The sequence below is a fragment of the Homo sapiens genome, chromosome 9 (assembly GCF_000001405.40).
Source record: "Homo sapiens chromosome 9, GRCh38.p14 Primary Assembly".
In the NCBI taxonomy this organism is placed as follows: Eukaryota; Metazoa; Chordata; class Mammalia; order Primates; family Hominidae; genus Homo; species Homo sapiens.
In genome coordinates, this window is record NC_000009.12 from 111,654,553 (window position 1) to 111,673,569 (window position 19,017).

At 43.6% G+C, this 19,017-nt stretch overlaps 2 protein-coding genes across 3 annotated transcripts in view, besides 5 other annotated features; both read left to right on the forward strand.

Moving 5' to 3' along the window:
• Positions 1–15,674, forward strand: part of DNAJC25-GNG10 (DNAJC25-GNG10 readthrough) — a 38,893-nt gene extending 23,219 nt beyond the window's left edge. Inside the window, exons 2-3 of the mRNA NM_004125.4 lie at positions 12,263–12,394; positions 14,720–15,674. Of these exons, the coding sequence (NP_004116.2) occupies positions 12,263–12,388 (126 nt within the window). The 3' untranslated portion in view covers positions 12,389–12,394; positions 14,720–15,674. The remainder of the gene's footprint in view (positions 1–12,262; positions 12,395–14,719) is intronic.
• Positions 6,634–6,693: an enhancer, noted in NCBI's record as "active region_28796". NCBI's record gives its function as "activates an Ori minimal core promoter by ATAC-STARR-seq in GM12878 lymphoblastoid cells {active_cell/tissue: GM12878}" and the evidence as "EXISTENCE:reporter gene assay evidence [ECO:0000049][PMID:35858748]".
• Positions 6,874–7,323: a silencer, noted in NCBI's record as "silent region_20182". NCBI's record gives its function as "represses an Ori minimal core promoter by ATAC-STARR-seq in GM12878 lymphoblastoid cells {active_cell/tissue: GM12878}" and the evidence as "EXISTENCE:reporter gene assay evidence [ECO:0000049][PMID:35858748]".
• On the forward strand, positions 7,053–15,674 carry GNG10 (G protein subunit gamma 10). 2 transcript variants are annotated; one of them, NM_001017998.4, is made up of 3 exons: positions 7,053–7,163; positions 12,263–12,394; positions 14,717–15,674. In NM_001017998.4, the coding sequence occupies exons 1-2, from the start codon at positions 7,083–7,085 to the stop codon at positions 12,386–12,388; spliced, it is 207 nt and encodes a 68-aa protein (NP_001017998.1). In that variant the 5' UTR covers positions 7,053–7,082; the 3' UTR covers positions 12,389–12,394; positions 14,717–15,674. The 2 variants fall into 2 exon arrangements, with proteins under 2 accessions (NP_001017998.1, NP_001185593.1); NM_001198664.2 differs by having other exon boundaries at positions 14,720–15,674.
• Positions 7,354–7,473: a silencer, noted in NCBI's record as "silent region_20183". NCBI's record gives its function as "represses an Ori minimal core promoter by ATAC-STARR-seq in GM12878 lymphoblastoid cells {active_cell/tissue: GM12878}" and the evidence as "EXISTENCE:reporter gene assay evidence [ECO:0000049][PMID:35858748]".
• Positions 7,764–7,863: an enhancer, noted in NCBI's record as "active region_28797". NCBI's record gives its function as "activates an Ori minimal core promoter by ATAC-STARR-seq in GM12878 lymphoblastoid cells {active_cell/tissue: GM12878}" and the evidence as "EXISTENCE:reporter gene assay evidence [ECO:0000049][PMID:35858748]".
• Positions 8,064–8,113: an enhancer, noted in NCBI's record as "active region_28798". NCBI's record gives its function as "activates an Ori minimal core promoter by ATAC-STARR-seq in GM12878 lymphoblastoid cells {active_cell/tissue: GM12878}" and the evidence as "EXISTENCE:reporter gene assay evidence [ECO:0000049][PMID:35858748]".
• Positions 15,675–19,017: the final 3,343 nt, after the last annotated feature.

Here is a 19,017-nt window from a genome sequence, read left to right on the forward strand (position 1 = left end):
CTGCGAGGACTTCAGTTGGCTCAATTATAAACTTGGGGAAGAGTCCGACCAGATTATCACTAGGGCCCTTTTGCAGCTCTAAAATTATTTATATTTTTGTAAACTTTAGATGAAAGTGTTTTATGCATCTATTCTGTTGGAGGAGTGTGGAGAAGGTACAGAGCTGAATTACAGGTAACTGTTTTTTAGACTTCAAACGCCCACCTCTTAGCTATAGACAAAATGCCTTTCAAAGATGCTGTGGTTGCCGGTAGAGTCAGCAATCCCTGTCCTGGTGAATGTATTATATAGTTAACACACAATGGTATTTACCACCTAAAAACATAAGTACGTGACATATATTATGAGGACCAAAAAGAAATGTCAGTACTCGACTCTCAAAATTTTTGAATGCCTCTATTAACCTAGCGACGAACTGTAAGAGGACTGGACATGTTAGCATTCATAAGGGTTGGCTGATGAAAACAGTTCATCTTTTGATATTCTTTTGCATATGTGCTAGATTACTGTATTTCTTCCAGTCTTCCTAGAAATGTTTCCGGAATTGTCCCCAGTAGCCTGCCCACTTGGTAATGTTTGGTCAGTCTTTTGGAATCACAGTCATTGCGTGAGTCTAGATGAATGGGCCGTGCTCGAGAGAAGAACTGATTCTTCTTGCCTTCCCTCAACAGATGGACCTTATGCTTCAAAATCCTAGGGTGAAGGAAGAGCCGTTAGTTGTCACAAATGTCAGTCATGTCTTCTGGGTGTCCTTATTATCTGTACCCTGCCCATCCCTCACCAAAAACCCAAAAGCCTCTCCATTTTAGAAACATCTGGAGAAAAATCCTGGGTAGAGAACCCCACAACTCCACTAGTTAGAACATTTTTCTCGAACTTCATTTTAGGGCTATTCCCATTGCCTTTTTGGTTGGTATTCAAGGGTTTATAGAGCATAGCTGTTCAATGCTATCTATTCGTCATTGTGTTACATAGTTGAGGTCTGCTAAGATTACCCTTCAGGTTATATGCATAACAGATATTCTCATAACAGATTCCATGACTAACTCTTCATTGCCTTATTTATGAATTCTAAGTTCTACAAATCATAGGTTACAGTTTCATAACATGTATTAGGTCTACTCTTAAATAGGACCATTGAGATACAGGATTTTTAAAATGTTACATGAAAGAATGGTTCAGTTTAGAGAATTAACTAGTACTATTTATGTTTAGAAAATAATAATTCATTACTTTGAGGGGTTTTTGTTTTTTTGGTTTTTTTTTTTTTGAGATGGTGTCTCGCTCTGCCACCCAGGCTGGAGTACAATGGTGCGATCTTGGCTCACTGCAACCTCTACCTCCCGGTTTCAAGTGATTCCCTGCCTCAGCCTCCCAAGTAGTTGGGATTACAGGTGCCTGCCACTATGGCTGGCTAATTTTTTGTATTTTTAGTAGAGACAGGTTTCACCATGTTGGCCAGGCTAGTCTTGAACTCCTGACCTCAGGTGATCCTCCCGCCTCAGCCTCCCAAAGTGCTGGAATTACAGGTGTGAGCCACCGCGCCTGGCCTAGTAGTAAACTTTTTTTTTAGATGGAGTCTCACTCTGTCACCAGGCTGGAGTGCAGTGACAGGATCTCAGCTCACTGCAACCTCTGCCTCCTGGGTTCAAGTGATTCTCCTGCCTCAGCCTCCCGAGTAGCTGGGACTACAGGCACCTGCCACCACGCCCGGCTAATTTTTTGTATTTTTAGTAGAGACAGGGTTTCACCATGTTGGCCAGGATGGTCTGGATCTCCTGACCTCGTGATCCACCCACCTCGGCCTCCCCAAGTGTTGGGATTACAGGCGTGAGCCACTGCACCCGGCCAGTAGTAAACTGTTAATACCCAAACCTTGGAGATATTTTTCTTGAGTGGAGGCCAATTGCTAGGGTATCACTCAGCTAGTGTGAACCAGACTGCTGGCCACAAACTGAAAATAATGTGGCTTTTATTAGATAGTATAAATGGAATCTAGCTACTTTAAAACATTAAATCAAACCTGGTCTCTTTTGACTTAGAATTATACACTTGAAGCAAATAGATAAATGTTGGTATTGATACAAACTAGTTGTGTATGGATGAATTATAATTATTTATAAAATGTGATGTTAACATTTAAATATTGGCAAAGGCCAAATCTAGAACCTAATAACTAAATTAAATTTACTTCATAAAATTATTTCAGTAGAAACCTACATAATTAGTTGTAAACTTTAGCCTCTTAATTCTTTTTTAATTGATATATGATAGTTGTACATATTTCAGCTTTTTTTTTGGAGACAGCATCTCTTGCCCAGGCCGAGTGCAGTGGCTTGATCATGGCTCACTGCAGCCTTGACCTCCTGGGCTCACATGATCCTCCCACCTCAGCCTCCTGAGTAGCTGGGACTACAGGGACTCATGCCACTATGGCTGGCTAATTTTTTGATTTATTTTTATTTTTATTTTAGTCGGGGGTCTTACTATGTTGCTCAAGCTGATCTTGAACTCCTGAGCTCAAGGGATCCTCCTTTTAAAGTGCTGGGATTATAGGCATGAGCTACAGGGTCTGGCCTTAGCTTCGTAATTATTAAAGGATTTAGGATATCCTCAACAATTGTGTATGGAATGGATCATGTGGTCTCAGATCAGTGTCACAGATTCCTCCTTCCTGGTTTCATTCGGGGGTGGAGAAACTTCTGTCATCTGACAGTCTCTCCTTTATAACCTCACGAAGCACGACATAGTGGAATGACTCTGGCTTTATAACCGGATAGAACAAGGTTGACTGGGCAGGTTACTTTAACCTGTGAGCCTTGTTTTCTTTCATGTAAAGATACTATTTCAGACAGTTCTTAGACGATAACAAGGGTAAAATGCCTGGCATATATTAAGTGATCAGGAAATGTGAGTTATTTTGCCTTCAGAGGGAATAACAAAGAGTCTCATTTGTTAAAAAAAAAAAAAGCATGGTAACAGGAGTGTGTTTTGTGATGATTACAAACCCATTGTTTATTCTTTTAATACATATTTTAATCCCTTGTGCAAGGCACGGTGCTAGAGTGAAGGAGTGATGCTCCTTAGGGTTGGAATTGTGTATTTTAAAAAGCAGCTGCCTGCCCTGTTGCCACCAGTGTGCAAGGTGGAGCAGCCGAGATGACGACTCAGGAAAGAAAGAAAAACTTTCAGAGATGACAGAATGATCAGCAAGTTGCTAGTCTAAGGCCTACATTTAGTGAAGGGACATTTTCAATGTAGCAAACAGATATGCTTAGAATGGTTGCTCAAAAAGACATCTAATAGCCCTAAGTTCTGCCGTCTCCCAAAGTCTCAAAAGTACCTGTGAAAATCTCTCCAGAAAAGCCATTCTGAATCTACAAACCTGCTGGTGATTCTTTCAGCTCCTGATTCATTATTTCTGGGTTCTAAAAATAATGTAATAGGCAAAAAGAAGTAAAATAATTTTTATAGTACATGATACTGTGTCACATTAGATATAGTTATTAATGTGTTTTCCTACTCTTAATCATTTTGGAAACTATAGATGGTATATATTATTGTCATTTTGATATAACATTGGCAGAAATATCTTCCCATTATGTCATTATTTTTATGGAGAAGATTGACTCACAAACCCCTTTCCTGGAAGAATAATCCACTGTTAGTAGACAGGTGATAAAATACAAGTCAGAGGAGTGAAGAACTGTAGCTCCTAACAGGGAAACAAATGAAACATTTGTCATTACAAGGGTAATGACATTTCTAGAAAGTTTCTTGGAAATGAGATAAGTTTGTGCTTAACCAGGGAAAAAAATGTGTGACAAAATTTGAAAGATATTCTACTGGTTACCCATGCATTTTAGCTGTAGTGAGAAGGAAAGAAGGGTACTCTGTCTCCATCCCTCACCTTCCAGAGCTCTGGAAATCACAGCACATGTGGGAAAGGCCTCTGGTCCTCTAGGTAAACCTTGAGTTCTTTGTTTGAGACGGAGTCTTGTTCTGTCGCCCAGGCAGGAGTGCAGTGGCGCAGTCTCACTGCAACCCCCACCTCCCGGGTTCAAGCGATACTTGTGCCTCAGCCTCCCAGGAATCTGGGACTACAGGCATATGCCAGCACGCCCGGCTAATTTTTGTATTTTAAATTAGCCAGGCGTGGTAGAAACCCCGAAGAGACGGGGTTTCACCATGTTGGCCAGACTTGTCTTGAACTCCTGACCTCAAGTGATCTGCCCGCCTTGGCCTCCCAAAGTGCTGGGATTACAGGTGTGAGCCACCGCGTCTGGCCTGAATTCTCTTGAAAGCTAAAATGAAATTCTTTTCCCTGCTCCCACTTTCTGTGATACTGGGCAAGTCACTTCACTTTCCTTAGTGGATCTGTTTCCTCATCTCTGAAATTGTAGATGCGCCGCACTATCTGATGGTTCCCTTCAACTTTGAAGTTCCATGATGCAAAAATAATGGATGAGAAGTCTTGTGGGGAAAGTGTGGAGCATCACACAGATGGTCAGCCTTCCTCAAGTACAAGTGGCGCCCGGCCTGCTTATCCATGGATCACAGACCATTCCTCTTGAACGGTGCAAAGTAACACTGAGGTGGGCGGGGCAGTGGGTGTGTAGGGCATGAAGGAGGCAGACACAGCACACCCCTAGACTTTTCCTGCTACCTCGTGGCTGATACAGTATGACATGGCTGACGTGTGTCCCTTCATTGAGGGCAACTCCAAAGCCTTCATTTCTAATGATTTTGAGGTAATCTCATTATTTCAGCTGCCATTGCTGTGGAGACATCTTCACATTAACATCTTGGCTACTAAACATTTTCAGCAGCCTAAAGGCATGTAGCAATGCCATGGAAGTCACTTCGTTACTCCTAAACCAAACCCCACATTATTTTTTACTCATCTCAAGCCAAGTCTTGTTTCCTAATTTCTGTTTTGGCATTAGTTCTGGCCCACTCTCTGCTACAGAACCCTTTGTCCTCTTTTCTTTGCATTTCATAACCACCATGAAGTACCACTGATTTTGTCTTCTAAATTTGTTCCCCCTCATTCCTACTCTAACAGTCCTACCCAGGGCCTCATTCCAGCTACTCCCCCACCATCAGCCATTTATCTTCTCAACTTCAGTTCATTTTGCACATTCATCTCAGATTAATATTCCCAAAATGCCTTACCCTGTGGCTATCCCACTGTTTACCATAAACTTTTGTGTGTATGTGAGGTTTTCTATGACTTCTGGCCCTAGCAACTTTGTATCTGCTATTAGTCACTAGAGCTTCCTCTATTTTTAAATTTATTCACTCTACATGTGTGCATCGCCTCCAGCTGTCCTCCATACTGGACTGTTCTTCCTTCTGAGCCATCTGCAAGACACGTATCTCCAAAGTCCAGCTCTCACGATCTATGATGAGCCTTTCCTAATCCAGTATGTATATCTTTGCACTGAGTTCTTTGCCATATCTTTTAAATATGAAATCATTCTATTTTGTCCTATTCATCAGTCTCAGAATTGATTGTTGAATGTTCCCAACATGTACTTTCATCTCTTTACTAAGATATATATTAATTTCTTTGTGGTGAGGAAATTGGCCACTAGAGAGGGCTTTCAAATGTGCAAGTCTCCCTTTGGCCCAGGCACAGCTAATCTGAGCACGTCAATGCCACACATCCTTGCCTTCAAAGAGTAATTGGGCCAGGGGTGGGCCCATGACTTAATACCAGCCAGTGAGGTTCATTATGGGGATTTTTGCTGGAACGATTAGAAAGAAAAGAGGTACTATTTTTCCTGGGTTTGCTAGATGGGGACAGTGAAAGTGTGGTGCCTTCCTTCATACCACTAGAGAAGTCCATCTACCACCAAGGAAAATGAGGCTAATCTCAGGAAAAGCAGAATCAAAACAAGGAGGATGAGAGCCCCAAAATTATTATTTGGGTAATTGAATTCACTAGTTTAAAGTCCCTGGACTTTTCAGTTACACAAGCCAATATATTACCTTTTGCAATATTCAGTTTAAGTGAGTTCTGACAAATACAATGGTGTACAAGAATAATGACGTATTAATGATACATGGAAAAAAGCAACACAAAAATTTTAAATATAGTAACGATCCCAGTTTTGTAAAACACTTATTAAAAAATGCAGTAGGCCTATAATGCCAGCACTTTGGGAGGCTGAGGTGGGAGGATCACCTGAGCCCAGGAGTTCAACACCAGCCTGGCCAACATCGTGAAACCCCGTCTCTACTAAAAATACAAAAATTAGCCGGGCGTGGTGGTGTGTGTCTGTAGTCCCAGCTACTCAGGAGGCTGAGGCAGGAGGATCACCTGAGCCCACGAGGTGGAGGCTACAAGGAGCTGTGATCACGCCACTGCACTCCACCCCGGGTGACAGAGCAAGACCCTGTCTCAAAAAAAAAAAAAAAAAAAAAAAAAGCAGCAGAATAGAAACAATGATGACAGTTAAATGGTGAGATGAGAGTGAGAAACGCTGAATTTAATTTTATTCTGTATGTTTCACAAAGATGTCAGGGTCTGGGATTTTATCCAATTTACCATACTCCACCAAATCAACTGGTAGGATCTCCGTGAAACAGTAACAGGGTCATTTAGAAACCTGTTGCTGCCTCATGAAAATCCTATGAACTCTCCTTGGTTCCCCGGTGATACTGTCTGGCAAGGCCCCTTATCTCTCCAACTCATGTCACACCTTGGCTCCAGTTCTCATTTCTCAGGGGTGCGTGTTTGCTGCCGCCCACTCCATCCTCGCGTCCCACGCCCTCGCGATTCCTGCTCATCCTAGGGGCGCCAGCTTCGCTGGAGGACGCCGCGCTCTGCGGGTCCCCGCCTCGGTTCCAGGCCCAGCTGCAGGTGCCACCCAGGTTTCAGGCGCTGAGGAGCGGAGAGCACTGCCAGCTCGCTGGGGTCCCCGCTGTCTCTGGCAAGCGGCTCCGCGCCGGGTGGGCTGGGGCGGCGGGGCGGGCGCAGCTGCTTCCCCGCCCCGGGGCGGCACCCGCGCTCGGGGCTGGCGGCTCCTCCCCGCCCGGCCGGGCCCAGCAGCCCCTAGGAGCCCAGCGCCGCCGCCATGTCCTCCGGGGCTAGCGCGAGCGCCCTGCAGCGCTTGGTAGAGCAGCTCAAGTTGGAGGCTGGCGTGGAGAGGATCAAGGTGCGGGCCCCGGGTACCCACGCTCCGGTCCTTCCGCCCGCGGGGCGTGAGAAGAGGAGGCCGGCGGCCCGGACCGGGCGCCAGCGGGGGACTCGGTGGCGGCGGCGAGGCCTCGGCGGGGCGCGGGGGCGGTGGGGTCCGCGGTGAGGGAGGGCGCGGGGCAAGCCGGGGGCCCGGGCCTGACGGGAGGAAGCCGCGCCTGGGGGGCCCCGCGGTCGTGGTCGGTCCCGGTCCCTGGGGGTGCGCCCACTCCAGAAGGCGGCCGTGGTCAGTTCCTCGGAGGGCGCAAGGGATGCCGGCGACGCGCGGGCCGGGAGGGTGGACCCAGGGCTGGGGAGGCCACCGCAGGGCGGCGAATTGGTGATGGATTGGTAGGATGAGAGCGAGAGGGAGGAGAGCCAGGATGCTCGGGTTTCTGTCGTCGTGACAGGGTGGACGGCGCTGCCACCCGCCGAGGTAGAGAGGAGGGGGAACAGGTTTGGGGAAATGATGAGTTCGGCTGCGGACCTGGGGACTCCGGGGAGTCATCCGGGAGGTATTTGTCCTCATGGCCTGAAGCTCAGCGCCCAGGGCTGAAAGAGGTCATTCAAGTGCATTGGGGCGAAAAAGCCTCTTCTATGAAGAGCAGAGCTCAGAGCCTGGGACCCGGGGACCAGCCACACCGATGGCCGGTGGCCGAGAGAAGAGGAAATAAGAGACAGCAAGGTTTCCGAGCAAGGCCTAGAGAAGAGGAAATAAGAGACAGCAAGGTTTCCGAGCAAGGAAGTAGGGATTTCCAAAAACTGGGGGCTCAGTCAACATGTCCAGCGTTTAGTCAGTTGGCTAAAAGGCGTCTGTTGTAGAGCTGTGTTTAGCTACGAGTGCAGCATTATTTGCAGAAGATCTGTAAGAAGGAACACAACCAGGATAGTCCCTGTGCCTCAGTTTCTCCTTTGCTGTGTGCCTGGCACTGCTACAGGGAATAGGGTGGTTCTGGAGGGGAAGGTAAACAGCAACTTAACGGATACATAGCATCGCTTCATGTACTAAGTGGAGTGAAGATAATAAACAGGGTAAAGGGAGAGAGGGCTGTGGAATGCAGAGGTCTGGTGGCTTATGTGTTAGTAAAAGCAGAATCTGGACTGTCATAGGGTAGGCAGACGTTTTTTCTTTTTAAAGAAACCTAGTTTTAAAGAGGAAATAACGTGTTTTTTTAACTTAGGAAATGAAAAGCCATGTTTTAGGGTTGAGAGGAAGTAACAAATTATATTTTTAGGTTCCAGGGAAGAAACAAATGGAAGCCAATTGCTGGTAGAGGAGACAGGGCTACGGGGGGGTGGGGGATTGGTGGCACAGCTTCTGAGACAGGAAGAAAGAAGGTAAGGGTGTGTGTAAAGATAAGTTTCTAGATATGGGCTAAACTTGTATGGTGACACTTTTCTTTGTGAAATAGGAGGCCAGGTTTTCTTCTAAGGCAGAGGAAAGGGGACTAAGGGAGTGGCCCCTGAGCAGGCACGCAGATGCGCTGTGACTGAAGACCCAGCTGCTGTGACAAGGGAGACTGCTGGTCATATTTGTGATTTTTTTTTTTTCCTGCAGCAATCTTTACCATCCTGGAATGTGAGTGCTGAAGGTGAACGGTAGTTGAAAGAGGAGTAAGTTAGCAGGGGAGGTATGCCAGAAAGGTGGAGGTGGGGCCGGAGGGCAAGGCGTGTGAAGGTCTGGCCAGAAAGAGGCTGAGCCTAGATGGATAGAGAAGGAATGCAGCCAGCCTCCTGGTGATAGGTGAGACAGAAGGGGAGGAGGTGATGCCTGGTGATCTCGGTGAGGTCAGAGCAGAATAAAGGAAGAATAAAGGAGGCAGCACCCTGGATGGGAAGGAGAGATTGTGATCAGAGAGTAGGATACTGGAGTGTAAAATTTCAGAAGTGGAGCAGTTACAGGTGTTGTAACTGTATCTGTTGGCATTGAGGAGAAGGCTGTTTGAGGGGAAGAAGTCAGGGAACTGAAATGAGGGTTGTTGGAAATTCACAAAGACAATGTGGGGACATGAGGTAGAAAGGAAAACTGTGAGCCAGTCAGATGCCTGTCTACCCGCCAAGTAGCTAAGAAAGAGGAAAGATATTCTTTTTTTTTTTTTTTTGAGATGGAGTTTCATTCTTGTTGCCCAGGTTGGAGTGCAATGGCATGATCTCAGCTCACTGCAACCTCTGCCTCCCAGGTTCAAGCGATTCTCCTGCCTCAGCCTCCCGAGTAGCTGGGATTACGGGCACCTGCCACCACGTCCACTAATTGGCTTTTTTTTTTTTTTTGTATTTTTAGTAGAGATGGAGTTTCACCATATTGGCCAGGCTGGTATCGATCTCCTGACCTCAGGTGATCCTCCCGCCTCAAGCTCCCAAAGTGCTGGGATTACAGGCATGAGCCATGGCACCTGGCCGGAAAGATGTGCTTATCTACCTTTTAAAAATGATGATGAAACTGAGAGCCATATAATTCAGGTGAATTGCCTGAGCTCGCAGTAAGCTTATTTACAAATAGGATAATAAGCCTATTTAAGAGGTGCGCTCATGGAAGTATGATCTGGGGTACTTGGCAGGGCTTCCCTCAGACAATACCTTAGAGAGTCACAACCATTCCAGGGTCTGGTCTACCTCACATCCTCATTCATTGTTGGATGTGCTTAGCATAGCCAGAGGTGTCTTCTCTTTGACAGACTTGCTATCTGAAAAATAAACCAGGACACCAATTTTCTAGCATATAATAGAGGACATCCCTTCCCAGCTATAGGAATGCTTGGTATCCTTCCAAGAACTCCTCCTTTAGAGGAGCCTCACAGAAGTTGCTGGGTAAACATGGGCTCAAACCAAGGAAAGTCAGGTAACCTGGGTGGAGGTTATCCCACCACCAATGGCAGGGGACAGCTTGCAAGTATTTGGGCTTATAGTCTCCCAGCCCACAGCCTCTCTCCCTTGCTAGTGTTAGAGAGATGCTGATCACGTTTACTCTTCTCTTATTTTCTCTGCGTATCCCCTTACCTTAACTTTTTGACCATGTTCTTGAGCCTAGAGTTCAGTTAGTCTCATTTCTCCAGGAGTCCTGGAGACAGTGTCCTTCCACCTACCATGTGTGGAGTTTACCTGCCACCCCAATGCAAAGATAGTAAGCCTGAGCATAATTGATTCTCGATTTCTTTTGAATTAATAACTGGTATATATAACCATTAATTCCAATTATAATTCACATGAAAATGTCAGAGCTTCTATTGAGAGCAAAAGCAAACTTTAGCATTAGCCTGGTAATATTATATTATGGTTTTATATTCATATAATATGGAGTAAACTGTCATTACATTAATGCAACCAAAATTCCTGGAGCTGTCCAGAAACTTGGTAGCAATTGTAACATAAACAGTTAATTTTCCAGTTATTTGGAGGCTTGGAAAATTAACACAAACTAGTAGTAATACCTGAACAGCAATTGGAACCATTTTTGTACAATATGGGTGAATTGTATTCAAAATGCCTTTTAATGCAAAAAAAAAAAGTACAATGAGGAAAACCTCCAAGTAGAAATATGCATCAAATGGAAGATAAGAAAAGGGATAATGATATTGTATCAGTTAGTTTTTGCTGCCTGACAAACCACCCCAAAATTTAGTGGCTTAAAAGATTTATACTCACAGTTCTTAGATGGACAATTTGAGCTAGGTTCAGGTGTACAGTTCTGCTGATCTTCTGGGCTCTCCCATGCATCTGCAATCAGATAGAGTGTTAACTGGTGTTGGCTGGTGTCTGGGTGATTGAGAATGGCCTCACTCACAGGTCTGCAGGTTGATAGGCAGGTGCTGGTTGTAGCTTACCAGTTCTCCTCTACAAGACCTCCAGGAGGCTATCTTGGGCTCCTTCAGATGGTTGTCTTACAGTTCCACCTGCACCAAGAGAGATAGGTGCAGAGACTCTTGAGGACTAGCTTGGAACTTGCCCTTTATTTCTACCACATTCTACTGGTCAAAGTCAGCCCAGATTCTTTTCTTTTTTTGTTTTTTTGAGACGGAGTTTTGCTCTTGTCACCCAGCTTGGAGTGCAATGGTGCGATCTCGGCTCACTGAAACCTCCGCCTCCTGGGTTCAAGCGATTCTCCTGCCTCAACCTCCTGAGTAGCTGGGATTACAGGTGCACGCCACCACACCCGGTTAATTTTTTTTTTTTTTTTTTTTTTAGTAGAGACAGGGTTTCACCATGTTGGTCAGGCTGGTCTCGAACTCCTGACCTCGTGATCTGCCCCCGCTTGGGCTCCCAAAGTGCTGGGATTACAGGTGTGAGCCACTGCGCCCAGCCACAGTCAGCCCAGATTCAAGGGGTGCGTCAATAGACTCTACCTCTTCGTGGAAGGAGCTGCAAACTATTGTGATCACGTTTGCAGTCTACCACAAATGTATTGCTATATGTTAGCGCTATTCTAATAGCTTTATATGTGTGAACTCACTTAATTGTTACAGCAACCCAGAGAGGTGAGTTACTATTTCTAATTATTTCTCAGATGAGGAAGCAGCTACTGAGACGTTGAGTAACTTGCCCAAGGTTATATAGGTAGTGGCAGAGCTGAATTTGAGTCCACGCAGTCTGGTTCCAGAGGCTATACTCCCAAATAATAAGCTATACCGCCTCAAAAGCAAGGCGGAAGAACTTTATCACTTGTTTGGAGCAGACTGAATAAGGCTTCAGACTTGTAAACATTAAGACAATTTGCTCATTTGGCAAACTTGGATATATTGATGCATGTTTTATATAAGTAAAAATTTGTAAAGGGAATGCTAGAATGAGCTATTTCTTTACCCGTTCAGTCTCAAAACTAGATTTCTAAATGGATCAAAGATACAGCTTTTTCTTGTCTTCGTTGAATAAGCAACTAAACCAAAAAATATCTAAATTGACGTTCATGGAAATTGTAACCTTTTCTCTTTGTAGTTCAAGTATTAGAACTTTCAGCAGAAAGAGACTTTTGGAGGTCACAAAAAGTTGATATTTACCAAGTTGGATGATCGTTTTCAGAATATCCTTGACTGCCGGGTGGCTTGGCTGTGAGCAGGGTGCCATGTTGCTGTCCCTTTGTTTCAGGTCTCTCAGGCAGCTGCAGAGCTTCAACAGTACTGTATGCAGAATGCCTGCAAGGATGCCCTGCTGGTGGGTGTTCCAGCTGGAAGTAACCCCTTCCGGGAGCCTAGATCCTGTGCTTTACTCTGAAGACTCGTGAGTAATGATACACCATGATGTCTTGGGCCCATAGCATTATCACAGGGCTTCCCAAAGGACTTGAGCAACTGAGTTTTGAATGTCTCCTATTCTTGGGGAAATTAAAACAAGAGCCAGCAAAATGCACAACTTTCCCTGAAGTGTGATTCTAGTGTATATTTACCTTGCCTGTAGAATACATCTAATCAGGACAGTCTGAAGTCTCTCTGGCACTAAGTCATGAGATGCCAACATCCTTCTGTACTTGAGCTCTTTGAGTTGGCTGGTAGTAATTTCTTCCTTTCTTTCTTTCTTTTTTTTGAGACAGTCTCGCTCTGTCACCCAGGCTGGAGTACAGTGGCATGATCTTGGCTCACTGCAACCTCCATCTCCCAGGTTCAAGCAATTCTCTTGTCTCAGCCTCCCGAGTAGCTGGGACTACAGGTGCCTGCCACCACGCCCGGCTAATGTTTGTATTTTTAATAGAGATGGGGTTTCACCATATTGGTCAGGCTGGTCTCGAACTCCTGACCTCAGGTGATCCACCCGCCTCGGCCTCCTAAAGTGCTGGGATTACAGGTGTGAGCCACCACACCTGGCCAGTAATTTCTTGACCTTAAGCCCACCCTCTCTGTCCTTATAGCATCCAAGGGTTGGGATTTGCTACTTAGTGCTATCAACTGACTTGCTACTCTTGGGAATAAGGACTCCCCAGAGTGGGAGATGTGTGCCTACCACCCGCTGTGATTTCTTTCCCAATGGTTTTCAGAATATATCTCTGTTTTAATGGAGGAAGAAATATAGCTATTGGGAAAAAGTGTGAGTGGGGTTAAAAGAGCTTTAAAAATTGATAAATGAAAACACCTCTCTGGTGGCATATTAGAAACTTCTTGGGTTCGAATGCTTTGTATTGGGGTCATTTTCACAATGTGTTTCCCCCCTCATCGCCGAGACATCTTGCTCTGTCACCCAGGCTGGAGTGCGGTGGCGCGATCTTGGCTCACTGCATCCTCTGTCTCCTGGGTTCAAGCAATTCTCCTGCCTCAGCCACCCGAGTAGCTGGGATTACAGGCGCATGCCACCATGCCCACCTAATTTTTTTGTATTTTAGTAGAAATGGGGTTTCACCATGTTGGCTAGGCTGGTCTTGAATTGGCTGGTCTCAAACTCCTGACCTCATGATCTGCCTGCCTTGGCCTCCCAAAGTGCTGGGATTACAGGCGTGACACAATGTTTTTTTAAGAGGACAAGGGCATGAATTATTAGAGTCTTTTGGGACCAACATATTTCAAATGATGTGTTCTAAGGGGTGTTTATACAGTGAGTAATTATCTTAGGTCCTTCTTCACAAGTAGCAAAAGGAAATTGTTCACATTTAAAAGAAGGAAGCAATCTATCAAATCTTATTGTACTTTTTAATGGAAAATGTTCATATTTATGGTGTTAAGATAATAGTCTTATGTTGGCATAGCATTTTTCTTTTTACAAAGCTTCCTTCTTCCCTCCCCTCCCCTCCCCTCCCCTCTTCTTCCCTTCCCTTCCCTCCTTCTTTCCTTCCTTCTCTTTATTAAATTGAGATGGAGTCTCACTCTGTCACCCATGCTGGAGTGCAGTGGCACAATCTTGGCTCACTGCAACCTCCACCTCCCAGGTTCAAGTAATTCTCCTGCCTCAGTCTCCCGAGTAGGTGGGACTGCAGGTGTGCAGCACCATGCCTGGCTAATTTTTGTATGTTTAGGAGAGATGAGGTTTCACCGTATTGCTCAGGCTGTTCTCAAACTCCTGACCTGAGGTGACCTGCCTGCCTCGGCCTCCCGAAGTGCTGGGATTACAGTCGTGAGCCACTGCGCCCGGCCTTACAAAGCACTTTCATGGGTGCTGCTCATTCAGTGGTGTGGTTTAGATGTCTTTTGTATTCACCTGTTACTTTCATTTTTTTTTTGTTTGAGACGGAGTTTTGCTCTTGTTTCCAGGCTGCAGTGCAATGGTGCGATCTCAGCTCACCACAACCTCTGCCTCCCGGGTTCAAGCGATTCTCCTGCCTCAGCCTCACTAGTAGCTGGGATTACAGGTGCCCGCCACCATGCCCGGCTAATTTTTTTGTATTTTTAGTAGAGGCAGGGTTTCTCCATGTTGGTCAGGCTGGTCTTGAACTCCCAATATCAGGTGATCCACCCACCTCGGCCTCCCAAAGTGTTGGGATTACAGGCGTGAGCCACCGCGCCTAGCTCACCTGTTGCTTTCTATTTCGTGAATACTAAAGTACCCTATTAAATGATGACTAGTTAATTTTATAAAGAAATCTTACTAAAGTGAAAACCAAACAAACTCTTTTTCCAGTAGGAGAGAAGTTTGCTGAGGAATGCCTTCAAGCACAAAGTGATGAATGACTGCCTTCAAGTCTCAAGAAAACACTTTTCCCTAACTTTTAGAGATATTTCAGCCCTTTCCTGTGGCCTGGTCCTATAGCCAAAATCACAGATATTCATGAGTTTCTACTTGAGTGAGAAAACTGGGTGAAGGAATAGAATTTTAAATAGTAATAACTGCTTGTTTTTTTTGTGCAAGTACTTTTATACATAAGATAAACAAAAACCTTACCACCAAACATACCAAAATGCACCTCTTTCATAAGTGAGTTACTAAGATTTCTATACCTGGAATATCATGTATGTTTCATTTACTGGATGTTTACATTTTAGGAAGGAAAATAGTTTTGTTTATTTAAACAACTGAATACTTATAAACTGTTGTTCCTGGAAGTTATTTATTCCATAAAAAATTTGTTCTTTTGTCATGAATTTATAATTCCTAAATGAAGACCAGAAAGTACAAATTGCTGGGAGGAAGAATAGGCTTTATTAATCAACTGATGTCTTGATTTTTCTAAATGGGAAGATTGCTTTATTTTTAACACTAATTATGGGAGCAGATTCTTAGCAAACTTCTTTGGAAAAGTTAATGTTATGATGTGCATTAGGCTGCCCCATCGTGTATATAAATGAAGCAGATTTGATTTTTGTATTCTTACGTTTCTCTGCTTTGTAGTTGTGGCTGTACTTAAAGAAATACAGAATTTCATATATTTAAAAATGTTTAAAATGTGACCCACAGAACATTGTAAATGATTAAAAACTAACATGAAAATATTACAACCTAAAAGAATTCTTAACTTCACAAGTGTTTTACTTCGACGATGTGCCTTTGATTTAATTTGGGACACTTTTTTAGAAGGATACATTATTCGTGTTTGCAACGGTCTTTGAAGAGCTTGGAAATAAAATTTCTGCTTAATTAATCATTTTTCTATGACAGCAATATTTTGTGTCTGATTTTGTATTAAGGACTCAAGGATTTCTGTTTGCCTGTGAGATTGAGTGCTGGAATGAGAGAGTGAAATTGTTGTTTTTAAGTCTTTGTAGAATTTTGCAAATGTCCTGAAAAATAGATAACTGTATAACATGAAGAAAATATCTCTATTAATGGCAACATTTGTTCTCTGAAATAGCTATATATAAACTCATAAATAAACAAAAATATCTGTGAGTGTAAGTAGTGTTACAATAGAGAAAATAGAAGTTATTAGATGGGAACTCCCTTAACTTTTAGCTACTAAACTTCTAGATCTAGTGATTGGAATCCCTTCCATTCAGTCATAATTCAGGCATCCCTTTTATAACCTATTTGTTCTCTGGATCTGTTTCACCTTCTCTGAAATTGCACACTACCAGTGATCCTTTCTCCTTCATCTTCAAGTTCTCTGCTGGATGCTTTATTTTCTCTTTTCTTCTCTTCTCTTTTCTTTTTTGAGACAGGGTCTCACTTTGTCACCCAGGCTGGAGTGCAGTGGCGCTATCTCGGCTCACTGCAGCCTCAATCTCCTAGGTTCAAGTGTTCTTCCCACCTCTGGCCCCCAAGTAGCTGGGACTACAGGCGTGAACCATCACACCCGACTAATTTTTGTATTTTTTGTAGAGATGGGATTTCGCCATGTCGCCAGGCTGGTCTTGAACTCCTGAGCTCAAGCCATCCACCCACCTCAGCCTCCCAAAGTTCTGGGATTATAGGCGTGAGCCACTGTGTCTGGCCTCCAGTGGACCCTTTCTATCACAATTTAGCATGTTCCATTCTGTCTTAACAACAACAGCATTTTTTAAAATCCTCATTGAAAAACAAAATTCTTTTTTGATTCCACTTTCCCCTTTCAGCAAACATTTGGTAAGATAGCACAATGAAACTATAAGCATCTCACTTATAGATGAATATAGATGCAAATGTCCTAGATATAAACAGATAAAATTCAGTAGTTAGAGAAAGTACAGCCGGATAAAACTACTTTAACATAACTAAATCTATCAATGTAATTCATTACTTGAATCACTTAAAGAAGGGAACCTATGCCAAAAAGTCATCTGATAAAATTCAATAGCTGTTCTGGGCTAGGTACAGTGGCTCACGCCTGTAATCCCAGCACTTTGGGAGGCCAAGGCAGGCAGATCATGAGGTCAAGAGATTAAGACCATCCTGGCCAACATGGTGAAACCCCGTTTCTATTAAAATTCAAAAATCACCTGGGCATGGTGGCACGCCCCTATAGTCCCAGCTACTCGGGAATCTGGGGCAGGAGAATCGCTTGAACCTGGGAGGCGGAGGTTGCAGTGAGCCGAGATCACACCACTGCACTTCAGCCTGGCAACAGAGGGAGAGACCCTGTCTCAAAAAAAAAAAAAAAAGCTGTTCTGAATAAAAACTAAGTGGATTAGTGAAATGAGAGTAGAAAGAAATTACTATGATGATAAAGACAATTTTTCAAAGCCAACAGCCAATATCATACTACATGGTGAAAGGCTGACACATTCAGATTATCAGGAACAACACAAGAATACCTTTTATCACCACTATTATTCAGCATTGCTTTGGAAGTCTTAGCTAATGCAGTAAGCTGAAAAAATGAAATGATGTAAACATTTTAGAAGAATTATCTGTATTTATGGGTTATATAATTGTACACCTTGAAAACTCGTGAGATTCTCGTACAAGAAATACTTGAATTTATAATAGAATTTGGGAAGCTAGCTGGATAAAAAAGACAGAAAAATAACATTTTCTATACTGACAATAGCTAGTTTAAAATGGAAATGGAAGTTATATTCCCTTTCTACTTTAATGATACAACTATAAAAATACTTGGGAATAAACTTAACAAAAGTGCAAGGTCCCTAAAAAAGATTTTATTGATGTTATAAAACGGAGTGTAAATAAATGGAGGGACATGGCAATTCTAGGATATTAAGACAATTTTGGCCAGGTGCTGTGCTCACACCTGTAATCCTAGCACTTTGTGGGGCCGAGGTGGGTGAATTGCTTGAGATCAGGAGTTCGAGACCAGCCTGGGCAAGATGGTGAAACCCCATCTCAACAAAAGATGCAAAAATTAGCTGGATGTGGTGGTATGCACCTGTAGTCCCAGCTACTTGGGGGACTGAGACAGGAAAATCGCATGAGCCCAGGAGGTTGAGGCTGCAGTGAGCTGTATTCACGCAACTGCACTCCAGCCTGGGCAGCAAAGTGAGAATCTGTCTCAAAAAAACCCCAACAAAAAAAGACAATTTCATTAAAATGTCGATCTTACTAAATAAAATTTCTGCTTAATTAATCATTAATCGTGTGTGTGTGTGTGTGTGTGTGTGTGTGTGTGTGTGTGTGTGTAAAACATGAGGAGGGGGTGGGCATGGTGGTTCATGCCTATAATCCCAGCCTAGGCAACATAGTGAGACCATGTCTCTATTTTTTTTTAATTAAAAAAAAAAAAAAAAACCTCTTGTAAAAATCATTACAGAGAAAAAAAAAAAAAAAAGCAGAGCCAGGCATGGTGTTGTGCACTTGTAATCCCAGCTACTCGGGAGGCTGAGACAGGAGAATCGTTTGAACCTGGGAGGCAGAGGTTGCAGTGAGCCAAGATCGCACAACTGCACTACAGAGAAAACACCTGCCATGTATAGGAGAGATAATGGGCTAATATCCCTAATATACAGAATATTCTGATTGCATGATGAGAAAAAAATGAGTAAACGGTGTGAAGAAGCAATTCACAGAGGAGAAAATCCAAACAAAAGAGCACATAACTCCACTAGTAAGCAAGGGAAATGTAAAGACGGTGATAATGAGGTATCATTTTTCAATCCCTCAAATTAGAAAACAAAAAATAAAAGTGCATATTCATTAAGAACTTACATGCCATGTTCTGAGTATTTATGTGTATTAGGTCATTTACTCCTTATTGGTGTGACCTTGAACAAATCAAATTCTCTGGGTCTCAGTTTCATCACCCATAATTATTTTTTAAATTTGGATAAGAATATCTGCTTTATCTCCTTTGCACAAATGTGGAAAGTGAGGCGCAGGTGAGTTGAACATCGTCCGTAAGCCAACAGTTAATAGATGATAGAACTAGTATCCAATGTCGAGCAGTCTAGCTCTAGAGCCCACACCCTAAACCACTGTGCTGTGTACCATTGCTGGTAAGGATAAAGGAGACTGGGCAGTTTTATACCTTATTAGGGTGTAATGTGCTACAACCCTTTGGGAGAGGAATTTGGCAAAATCTCTTTAAATCCCAATCAGAAAGAAATAAGATTTGA

Bases quoted from the DNA above. Each gene is read 5' to 3' on its own strand.
- GNG10 (NM_001017998.4), top strand. From the start codon at position 7,083: ATGTCCTCCGGGGCTAGCGCGAGCGCCCTGCAGCGCTTGGTAGAGCAG. The intron at 7,164-12,262 runs GTGCGGGCCCCG...CCTTTGTTTCAG, and splicing joins CTGGCGTGGAGAGGATCAAG to GTCTCTCAGGCAGCTGCAGA.